Below are 12,412 nucleotides of genomic sequence, written 5' to 3'. Positions count from 1 at the left end.
TCTTTCAGCAGTGTTTTGTAGTTTTCCTTGTAGAGGTCTTTTACCTCCTTGGTTAGGTATATTCCTAATTTTTTTTTTTTCTCACAGCTATTGTAAAAGAGTTTGAGTTTTGATTTGACTCTCTGCTTCGTCGCTGTTGGTGTATAGAAGAGCTACTGATTTGTATGCATTAATTTTGTATCTGAAAACTTTGCTGAATTATTTTATCACTTCTAGGAGCTTTCTTGAAAAGTCTAGGGTTTTCAAAGTAAACAATCATATCATCCGCAAACAGTGACAGCTTTACTTCCTCTTTACCAATTTTGATGCCCTTTATTTTTTTCTCTTTTCTGCTTGCTCTGGATAAGACTTCCAGTACTATGTTGAAGAAGTGGGGTGAAAGTGGGCATCCTTGTCTTGTTCCAGTCCTCAGAGGGAATGCTTTCAACTTCTCCTCATTCAGTATTATGTTGGCTCTGGGTTTGTCATAGATGGCTTTTATTATCTTGATGTATGTCCCTTGTATGCCAGTGTTGCTAAGAGTTTTAATCATAAAGCGTTGCTGGATTTTGTTGAATGCTTTTTCTGCATCTATTGAGATGATCCTGTGACTTTTGTTTTTATTTCTTTTTATGTGGTGTATCACATTTATTGACTTGCATTTGTTAAACCATCCCTGCATCACTGGTATGAAACCCACTTGATCATGGATTCTGTTTTTGATATGTTGTTGGATTCAGTTAGCTAGTATTTTGTTAAGGATTTTAGCATCTATTTTCATCAGGGACGTCAGTCTGTGGTTTTCTTTTTTGATTAATGCCTTTTCTGGTTTTGGTATTAGGGTGATGCTGGCTTCATAGAATGAATTAGGAAGGGCTCCCTCTTTCTCTATCTTATGGAATAGTGTCAATAGAATTGGTATCAATTCTTCTTTGAATGTCTGGTAGAATTCTGCTGCATACTGTCTGGTCCTAGACATTTTTTTCTTGGTAATTTTTAAATTACCATTTCAATCTCGCTGCTCATTATTGGTCTGTTCAGGGTATCTAATTCTTCCTGATTTAAGCTGGGTGGGTTGCATTTTTGCAGAAATTTATTCATTTCTTTTAGGTTTTCTAGTTAGTGCACTTAAAGGTGTTCATAGTAGCCTTGAATGATCTTTTGTATTTCTGTGTTGTCAGTTGTAATATCTCCCATTTCATTTCTTATTGAGGTTATTTGGATTTTCTTTTTTTCTTGGTTAATCTTGCTAATGGTCTATCAATTGTATTTATGCGTTTTAAAGAGCCAGGTTTTTGTTTTATTTATCTTTTGGTTTTTGTTTGTTTGTTTCAATTTCATTTCATTCTGCTCTGACTGTGACTATTTTTTTTTCTTCTTCTGGGTTTGGGTTTGGTTTGTCCTTGTTTCTCTAGTTTCTTGAGGTGTGAACAAGAGTGTCATTTTGTGTTCTTTCAGACTTTTTGATGTAGGTGTTTAGGACTATGAACTTTCCTTTTAGCATCTCCTTTGCTGTATCCTAGAGGTTTTGATAGGTTGTATCACTTTTGTTGTTGAGTTTGAAGAATTTTTAAATTTCCATTTTGATTTCATGTTTGACCCAATGATTATTCAGGAGCAGGTTTTTTAATTTACATGTATTTGCATGGTTTTGAAGTTTCCTTTTGTAGTTGAATTCCACTTTTATTCCACTGTGGTCTGAGAGAGTGTTTGATATAATTTCATTTTCTTAAATTTATTGAGGCTCATTTTGTGGCTTATCATACGGTCTATTTGGAGAAGGTTTCGTGCACTGTTGAGTAGAATGTATATTCTGCAGTTATTGGATGGAATGTTCTGTATATATCTGTTAAGTGCATTTGCTCCAAGGTATAGTTTAAATCCATTTTTTATTTGTTGACTTTCTGTCTTGATGACCTGTCTAGTGCTGTCAGTGGAGTATTGAAGTCCTCATTATTATTGTGTTGGTGTCTATCTCATTTATTAGGTCTACTAGTAATTGTCTTATAAATTTGGGAGCTTCAGTGTTAGGTGCATATATGTTGAGGATTGTGATATGTTCCTGTTGTACAAGACCTTTTACCATTGTATAATGTCCCTCTTTGTTTTTTTAAACTGCTGTTGCTTTAAAGTTTATTTTGTCTTATATAAGAATAGCTCTTATGAACCTCTTGTTTAGCATGATATTGCGGGATTCTCTGGCTTAGGTGAATAGCAAGCCATTTTCATGAATTACCTCACGCCATTAGGGGAAGAGGTATCCTCATTTTTAAAATTTTTTATAGTGGTCTGTGTTCCTATGTCTCTTATTCAGTATTATTTAATTTATTTGAAATTTTAAAAATTAATTTATTAATCTTCATTGTTTTATGGTTGTTTTCCAAAAATTTTATACTTTTTTTGATTGGGCCATGTTGCCCTAGTATTCCATATACATTATAATAATTAATTAAAATTTGTACATCAAAAAAGCTACCTGTTACAGTCTTCATAATGTAGCCTTGTCCTGGAAATCTGAAACCAATTGTCTTGGCTAGAGATTCTGGGAGTATGTCAAACATGTTCTTAGAATGCATCTTGTTTGAAATTTTTTTTTTTTTTTTTTTTTTAGATAAAGAATGTTACTCATGTTTCTTCTCAATAGTAATCTATTTTTTGTGTGTGGTACTACATTCTCTGCTGCTGTAATATTTAACTTTGGTTTCAGCAGATTCAAGCTGCCATTTTATTTTATTCATTTATTTTTTTTTGAGACAGAGTCTCTCTCTGTCGCCCAGGCTGGAGTGCAGTGGCATGATCTCGGCTCACTGCAAGCTCTGCCTCCCGGGTTCATGCCATTTTCCTGCTTCAGCCTCCTGAGTAGCTGGGACTACAGATGCCCGCCACCACACCTGGCGAATTTTTTGTATTTTTAGTGGAGACGCGGTTTCACCGTGTTAGCCAGAATGGTCTCGATCTCCTGACCTCGTGATCTGCCCACCTAGGCCTCTCAAGGTGCTGGGATTACAGGCCTGAGCCACCGTGCCCGGCCTCAAGCTGTCATTTTAAAGTATGCCACCATTTCTTTCAGTACTTTGTGTCATGAGAAACATAAACCAGTCTGGAAAGGCCCCTAGAAGCCAGAAATAAATATGTATGTGCCACTGTTTTATATGTCTTTAGAAATGAAATCAGGAGATGGCAATTTACTTTTTTTGTTTTGAGACAGAGTCTCACTGTGTCACGCTGGCTGGAGTACAATAGCATAATCTCATCTCACTGTAATTTCTACATCCCAAGTTCAAGTGATTGCCTCAGCTTCCCAAGTAGCTGAGACTACAGACGTGTGCCACCATGCCTGGCTAATTTTTGAATTTTTAGTAGAGATGGAGTTTTTCCATTTTGGCCAGGCTGGTCTTGAACCCTTGATCTCAGGTAATCCACTTGCCTCAGCCTCCAAAAGTGCTGGGATTGCAGGTGTGAGCTGCCATTCCCAGCCAGCAATTTACTTCTAACGACACCATGTCATTTTGGGGAGCAGGAAGAGCTGAGTTGGGAAACTGTAACAGACTTCTCTTTCCTTTTATGTGGCTGTTTGCATTGTACTTACTTGGGGCACTCTACACACTTAACTTATTTATAAATTTTCAACAAATATATTTTGGTCAGTATGTTTTTATTACATTTATATGTCTATGAAGAAATTAGGGCCTGTCTTATTTTGCTGTGCCATCTTGCTTAAGCGGTTTGTATAATTTTATAGGTTAGATTTGTAAAGTATATTCATCTGAGTCTAGCAAGTGACATAATTTATTATTTTCATTTCTTCCAGTTATTAGTTCTCATTTTACACAAGACTTTTGGCCAGATCAGAGCATAAAAGATTCTTTCCAAGAAATAATATTGAGAACATATGCAAGATGTGGACATAAGAATTTACGATTAAGAAAAGATTGTGAAAGTGTCAATGAGGGTAAGATGCACGAAGAAGCTTATAATAAACTTAACCAATGTTGGACAACTACCCAGGGAAAAATATTTCAGTGTAACAAATATGTGAAAGTCTTTCATAAATATTCAAATTCAAATAGATATAAGATTAGACACACTAAAAAGAAAACTTTCAAATGTATGAAATGTAGCAAATCATTTTTCATGCTTTCACACTTAATTCAACATAAGAGAATTCATACTAGAGAGAATATCTACAAATGTGAAGAACGTGGCAAAGCCTTTAAATGGTTCTCAACCCTTATTAAACATAAGATAATTCATACTGAAGACAAACCCTACAAATATAAGAAATGTGGCAAAGCTTTTAACATCTCTTCAATGTTCACTAAATGTAAGATAATTCATACTGGAAAGAAACCCTGCAAATGTGAAGAATGTGGCAAAGTTTTTAACAATTCCTCAACCCTTATGAAACATAAGATAATTCATACTGGGAAGAAACCATATAAATGTGAAGAATGTGGCAAAGCTTTTAAGCAATCCTCACACCTTACTAGACATAAAGCAATTCATACTGGAGAGAAACCCTACAAATGCGAAGAATGTGGCAAAGCTTTTAACCATTTCTCAGCCCTTAGAAAACATCAGATAATTCATACTGGAAAGAAACCCTACAAATGTGAAGAATGTGGCAAAGCTTTTAGCCAGTCCTCAACCCTTAGAAAACATGAGATAATTCATACTGAAGAGAAACCCTACAAATATGAAGAATGCGGCAAAGCTTTTAGCAATTTGTCAGCCCTTAGAAAACATGAGATAATTCATACTGGACAGAAACCCTACAAATGTGAAGAATGTGGTAAAGCTTTTAAGTGGTCCTCAAAACTTACTGTACATAAGGTAATTCATACTGCAGAGAAACCCTGCAAATGTGAAGAATGTGGCAAAGCTTTTAAGCGTTTCTCAGCCCTTAGAAAACATAAGATAATTCATACTGGAAAGCAACCCTACAAATGTGAAGAATGCAGCAAAGCTTTTAGCAATTTTTCAGCCCTTAGAAAACATGAGATAATTCATACTGGAGAGAAACCCTACAAATGTGAAGAATGTGGTAAAGCTTTTAAGTGGTCCTCAAAACTTACTGTACATAAGGTAATTCATATGGAAGAGAAACCTTGCAAATGTGAAGAATGTGGCAAAGCTTTTAAGCATTTCTCAGCCCTTAGAAAACATAAGATAATTCATACTGGAAAGAAACCCTACAAATGTGAAGAATGTGGCAAAGCTTTTAACAATTCCTCAACCCTTATGAAACATAAGATAATTCATACTGGGAAGAAACCATACAAATGTGAAGAATGTGGCAAAGCTTTTAAGCAATCTTCACATCTTACTAGACATAAAGCAATTCATACTGGGGAGAAACCCTACAAATGTGAAGAATGTGGCAAAGCTTTTAACCACTTCTCAGCCCTTAGAAAACATCAGATAATTCATACTGGAAAGAAACCCTACAAATGTGAAGAATGTGGCAAAGCTTTTAGCCAGTCCTCAACCCTTAGAAAACATGAGATAATTCATACTGGAGAGAAACCCTACAAATGTGAAGAATGTGGTAAAGCTTTTAAGTGGTCCTCACACCTTACTAGACATAAAGTAATTCATACTGAAGAGAAACCCTACAAATGTGAAGAATGTGGCAAGGCTTTTAACCATTTCTCAGCCCTTAGGAAACATAAGATAATTCATACTGGAAAGAAACCCTACAAATGTGAAGAATGTGGCAAAGCTTTTAGCCAGTCCTCAACTCTTAGAAAACATGAGATAATTCATACTGGAGAGAAACCCTACAAATGTGAAGAATGTGGTAAAGCTTTTAAGTGGTCCTCAAAACTTACTGTACATAAGGTAATTCATACTGCAGAGAAACCCTGCAAATGTGAAGAATGTGGCAAAGCTTTTAAGCATTTCTCAGCCCTTAGAAAACATAAGATAATTCATACTGGAAAGAAACCCTATAAATGTGAAGAATGTGGCAAAGCTTTTAACAATTCCTCAACCCTTAGAAAACATGAGATAATTCATACTGGAGAGAAATCCTACAAATGTGAAGAATGTGGTAAAGCTTTTCAGTGGTCCTCAAAACTTACTTTACATAAGGTAATTCATATGGAGAGAAACCCTGCAAATGTGAAGAATGTGGCAAAGCTTTTAAACATTTCTCAGCCCTTAGAAAACATGAGATAATTCATACTGGAAAGAAACCCTACAAATGTGAAGAATGTGGCAAAGCTTTTAACAATTCCTCAACCCTTAGGAAACATAAGATAATTTATACTGGGAAGAAACCATACAAATGTGAAGAATGTGGCAAAGCTTTTAAGCAGTCCTCACACCTTACTAGACATAAAGCAGTTCATACTGGGGAGAAGCCCTACAAATGTGGAGAATGTGGAAAAGCTTTTAACAATTCCTCAACCCTTAAGAAACATAAGCTAATTCATACTAGGGAGAAATCGTACAAATGTGAAGAATGTGGCAAAGCTTTTAGCAATTTCTCAGCCCTTAGGAAACATAAGATAATTCATACTGGGGAGAAACCATACAAATGTGAAGAATGTGGTAAAGCTTTTAAGTGGTCTCAAAACTTATGGAACATAAGGTAATTCATACTGTAGAGAAACCCTACAAATGTGAAGAATGTGGCAAAGCTTTTAAGCATTTCTCAGCCCTTAGAAAACATGAGATAATTATACTGGAAAGAAACCCTACAAATGTGAAGAATGTGGCAAAGCTTTTAACAATTCCTCAACCCTTATGAAACATAAGATAATTCATACTGGGGAGAAACCGTACAAATGTGAAGAATGTGGCAAAGGTTTTAACAATTTCTCGACCCTTATGAAACATAAGATAATTCATACTGGGGAGAAACCGTACAAATGTGAAGAATGTGGCAAAGCTTTTAAGCAATCCTCACACCTTACTAAACATAAATCAATTCATACTGGAGAGAAACCCTACAAATGTGAAGAACGTGGCAAAGCTTTTAGCCATTTCTCACGCCTTACTAAACATAGGATAATTCATACTGGAAAGAAACCCTACAAATGTGAAGAGTGTGGTAAAGCATTTAGTCCTCAAACCTTACTAAACATAAGATAATTCATTCTGGAGAGAAACCCTACAAATGTGAAGAATGTGGCAAAGCCTTTAACCAGTCCTCACACCTTACTCAACATAAAACAATTCATACTGGAGGGAAAACCTACAAATGTGAAGAATGTGGCAAAGCTTTTAACCATCTTTCAGCCCTTACTAAACATAAGATAATTCATACTGGGGAGAAGCCCTAAAAATGTGAAGAATGTGTCAAAGCTTTCAACCATTTTACAAACCTTAATACACATAAGATAATTTATACTAGAGACAGACCCTCCATATGTGAAGAATGTGGCAAAGCTTTTAACCAGTCCTCAAGCCTTAATAGGCAGAAAACAATTCATGCTGGAGAGAAACCCCACAAATGTAAAGAATGTGGCAAAGCCTTTAACCAGTCCTCACACCTTAAATACACATAAAATAATTGATACTGGAGGAAAACCCTACAAATATAATAAAGGTGACAAAGCTTTTAACCATTGCTCAGCTGTTACTCAAAATGAGAGAATTCCTAAAGAAGATAAACTCCACAAATGTGAATAATATGGCAAAGCTTTTAACTGGTCCTCAAATCTTACTGAATGTAAGATAATTCATACTGAAGATAAACCCTTCAAATGTGAGGAATGTGGCAAAGCTTTTAATCAGTCCTCAAATCTTACTGAACATAAGATAATTCATAGTAGAGACAAACACTGCAAATATGAAGAATGGGCAAAGCTTTTAACCAGTCCTCAAACTTTACTCAACATAAAATAATTTATCTTGGAGAGGAACACTACAAATTTAAAGAATTTGGCAAAACTTTTAACTGCTTCTCAAAACTTACTGAACATAAGATAATTCATACTGGAGAGATACTTTACAAATGTGAAGAATGTGGCAAAGCTTCTAACGGGTTCTCAGATCTTACTGAATATAAGATAAATTAGAGAGAAACCCGCCTCATGTGAAGAGTGTGGCAAAACTTTTAACTGGTCCTCAAACCTTACTGAACATAAGATAATTCATACTGAAGAGAAACCCTACAAATATGAAAACTGTGGCAAAGCTTTTAACTGGTTTTCAGACCTTACTCAACAGAAAATAGTTGATACTGAAGACAAACTCTAGAAATGTGAAGAATGTGGCAATGCTTTTAATCAGTTAAACTTTATTAGACATAAGAAAATTCGTACTGGAGAAAAACCCTACAAATGTGAAGAAAGTGGCAATGCTTTTAGCCAGTCCTCAACTCTTGCTAAACAACATAATTCAATGGGAGAGAAACCCTACAAATGTGAATAATGCCATAAGCATTCTTCAATTTTTTTTTTTTTTTTTTTGAAACAGAGTTTCGCCCTAGTTGCCCAGGCTCTGGAGTGCAGTGGCACAATCTCGGCTCACTGCAACCTCCGCCTCCTGGGTTTTCAAGCGATTCTCCTGCCTCAGCCTCCCGAGTAGCAGGGACTATAGGCATGTGCCACCACGCCCACCTAATTTTGTATTTTTAGTAGAGACGGGGTTTCTCCATGTTGGTCAAGCTGGTCTCGAACTCCCGACCTCTGGTGATCTGCCCGCCTCGGCCTCCCAAAGTGCTGGGATTAAAGGCGTGAGCCACCGTGCCCAGCCTAATTCTTCAATTCTTAATAAACAATTTATACTGAAGAGAAACCCTACAAACGTGAAGAATGTTGCAAAGCTTTTAACGTCCTCAAACCTTACTGAACATAAGATAATTCATAATGGAAACTAGCCCTACAAATATGAAGAATGTGGCAAACACTGTAACCATTTCTCACATCTTACCACACATTAAGATAATTCATACTGAAGAGAAACCCGACAAATGTGAAGAATGTAACAAAGTCTTTAACTGGTCTTCAACTCATACTAAATATAAGAGAATTCATACAGAAGATAAATTTTATAAATATGAAGAATGTGACAAAAGCTTTAAAAACATTTCAACCCTTATTACACATAAGATAATTTATGTTGTAGAGAAATTCTACAAATGTGAAGAATGTGGCAAAGTTTTTTTTTTTTTTTTGAAATGGAGTCTCACTCTGTCGCCCAAATTGGAGTGCAATGGTGCAATCTCAGTTCATTGCAACCTCCGCCTCCTGGGTTCAAGCGATTCTCTGGCCTCAACCTCCCAAGCAGCTGGGATTGCAGGCGCCTGCCACCACGCCCAGCTAATTTTTGTATTTTTAGTAGAGACGGGGTTTCACCATTTTGACCAGGCTGGTTTTGAACTCCTGACCTCAAGTGATCCACCCGCCTTGGCCTCCCAAAGTGCCCCAAAGTGCTGGGATTACAAGCATGAGCCATTGAGCCCGGTCGAATGTGGCAAAGTTTTTAATAAGTTATCAAATCATACTGGAGAGAAGCTCTACAAACCTAAAAGACATGACAGTGCTCTTGAGAACACCTTAAACTTTTCTAAACATAAAAGAAATCATAGTGTCAAGAAGCCCTAGATGTGAGTCATGTCACAAAGCCTTTAAATGGTTGTCACACTTGAGTATAAGCTAATTTATCCTAGAGAAAACTATGAAGAATGTGGCAAAATATTTAACCAATACTCACACCTTATCGCATAGGAAAGCATTTATACTTGAAAAAAAATGTACACCTATGAAGAATGTGGAAAAGCCATTAATATCTGCTCACATCTTAACATCACAGAGTTTATACTTAAAACAAATATTAAAAATGCAATTACTGTGAGAATATCTTTTAGAAAATATAAACCTTAGAATGGTGAAGAGTATTTCTTTTGATGACAAACATTACAAATATAAAGACGGTTGTAGTACTATATTTGTATCACAGATCTTATTGTGCATATTTTGTGCTAGAGAAAAACCCTAAAGTTGCTCAAACTTTGTTCAATATCAGGGAATGTATAATAGAGAAAAAAACCTGCAAATGTAATAAATTTGGAAAAAAGTTTATAAACTACAGCTTAGAAAACAGAGTAAGTTTTTTTTGTAGATGCAGTAAATATGAAAAATATTCAATCCAAAATTAACTCTGTAAATGTCAGAGAATTCACAGTAGAAATGATAAGGCACTGGCACTTCAGACTACACTAAATCAGAGTGTTGAGTAAAAAAAATAATTTCAATCTAAAATTTAGATAAGTTATTTGCATATAACTTAAAAAAGAGGAGGTGATTTTTTGGAGAATTATAATTACATTTGAAGTATACTTTTTGTATACTTCAAATATCAAAAAAATTAACATCACAATATTGAAAAAAATTACAGACTCTGAAAAGCAAATAAGGATGTAATTCAACTCTCAAGTTACTTCATGCTCTTCATTCCTACTTTATTTACATGTGAAAGCATGCGATCAATTGTTGCTGCATCAGAGATATGAAAGATTCTTTTTTATTAGATGGGCATTATTTATGACCTTTTTCATAAAAGAGAAAGGATATTAAAATATAAAATGCATGATAAAAATCTAAATGGAGAGGCTTTTTGTGGTTAACTTAAAATATTGAGTGATGTATGAGGTAGGTGTTCTGAGGAATATATTTTTGTGCATTATAGTGAGAAAAACATTTTAAAATTTTAGTTAAAATTAAAATTAAATTAGTGATGTATTATATTAGTTGTGCTTTTATGTAATGTAGTACATTCATAAATTTTTAGATTATATGTAAACTTAATTTTTTAAACATTTTTTGACATGTTAAGTCTGTTGTACATTCAATGAAGTGTTATTATGCCACTCGCTTTAACCTATCCCACCTTACTCAAGGGTGTAGGTAAGAGATGGCAACAGTTTACTATTTGGTAAGAGTGGAATAACATCTCTAGTAATCTCTTTTTTTCAGTGGCTTTAACCTGCAAATAAATTAAAGAATATTGTTCTCGTAGGTTACATTTTTATACTTTTAATCTTATTTAAACTTCTTTTTTTTTTTGCCTTGACAAATTTAAACTTATTTTTCTTAACTTTTATGGGTACATAGTGTGTAGATATATTTCTGCCATATATAGCATATTTTGATACCAGCATAAAATATGTAATAATCACGTCAGGGTAAATGAGGGATTCTTCACCTTCAACATTTATTCCTTGAATTACAAGCAATCCAAATCTACACTTTTAGTCACTTTGAAATATAAAACTAAATTGTTATCTTTATTATAGCGTCATTTTTGTGGTCATAATAAAAATCATATAGGAATGTAAATAAAATCTATACATATCTGGGTCCTGAGTAAATATTTTTTTTAATTTGTCATCTATTTTTCTTTGAACATGTGGCCACTGTGCCTGCAAACACATACCTACAGACTTTTTTTTTTTTTTTTTTTTTTTTGCAGTTGCAAGATTTAATAGAGTGAAAACAGAGCTCTCATACAAAAGGAGGGGACCCAAAGAGGGTAGCTGGTGCCAGCTCAAATGCCTGGGTTTATATCCTGATCATTGTCCCTCCCCCTGTGCTCTCAGGGGATAGATGATTGGCTATTTCTTTACCTCCCATTTTTGCCTAATTAGCATTTTAGTGAGCTCTCTTTACTACCTGATTGGTTGGGTGTGAGCCAAGTTGCAAGCCCCGTGTTTAAAGGTGGATGCGGTCACCTTCCCAGCTAGGCTTAGGGATTCTTAGTCGGCCTAGGAAATCCAGCTAGTCCTGTCTCTCAGTCCCCCTTCTCAACAGGAAAACCCAAGTCCTGTTGGGGAGGTTGGCTGATGACCGCTCTAACTGCTTTCTGCTGAATTGGGGCATAGTAGGGGTTGTGCAGTTGAGATTTCCTCAGGAGGGGTGGCTTTGATGTCATCAACATCAGAGCATGGGCTTGCAGGCCGGTCCAGGGGTCCACGGTAGATCTTAGTCATGGACTGCATCTGGGGCTCCATTTGAAGAACGATTTGTAGCTTTACAGCTTGGATTCTGGAAGAGACAAACTTAACAAGGAGGTTAAAGATACAGGAATTGAAATGTATGGCCTGCAGTGCAGGAGATTATTTCTTTGGCACACTTCACAGGCCCTGACTATCTGCTTGATGGTTTTAAAAAGGCCTTGTCCAGTAAATAATAATTTGGCCATCTGATAGGTGCTATTAATGCCTAAGGGAAAGGTTTGGTGAAGGGTTTTAAGTAATTTCCATTGGTTAGCTGCAGGCAAAAGTATTTTTCCTTCTTCAGTGGCTAGCCATCCTGAGGGGAGGAAACTGTCGTCGTGAGGTTCCCCATTGTTTCTTCTGCTGAGTACTGGGGCTTGGTTTCCTGGAGGGGGTTACCCCATACTAGGGGTCCTTCTATAAGCATTTCTAATGGAGGGTCCTGCCTTGCATCTCTTTTGGCTTCAATGTCCGCTTGGCGGTTCC

The 12,412-nt window shown here is 35.8% G+C and overlaps 1 protein-coding gene across 1 annotated transcript in view; it reads left to right on the top strand.

Moving 5' to 3' along the window:
• Positions 1 to 11,290, top strand: part of ZNF99 (zinc finger protein 99) — a 31,969-nt gene extending 20,679 nt beyond the window's left edge. The window contains exon 4 of the mRNA NM_001080409.3: positions 3,791 to 11,290. Coding sequence (NP_001073878.2) covers positions 3,791 to 6,159 — 2,369 coding nt within the window. The 3' untranslated portion in view covers positions 6,160 to 11,290. The remainder of the gene's footprint in view (positions 1 to 3,790) is intronic.
• Positions 11,291 to 12,412: the final 1,122 nt, after the last annotated feature.

This window comes from Homo sapiens, chromosome 19, assembly GCF_000001405.40.
Source record: "Homo sapiens chromosome 19, GRCh38.p14 Primary Assembly".
Taxonomy (NCBI): domain Eukaryota; kingdom Metazoa; phylum Chordata; class Mammalia; order Primates; family Hominidae; genus Homo; species Homo sapiens.
This window is presented reverse-complemented; position numbering and strand designations above follow the sequence as displayed.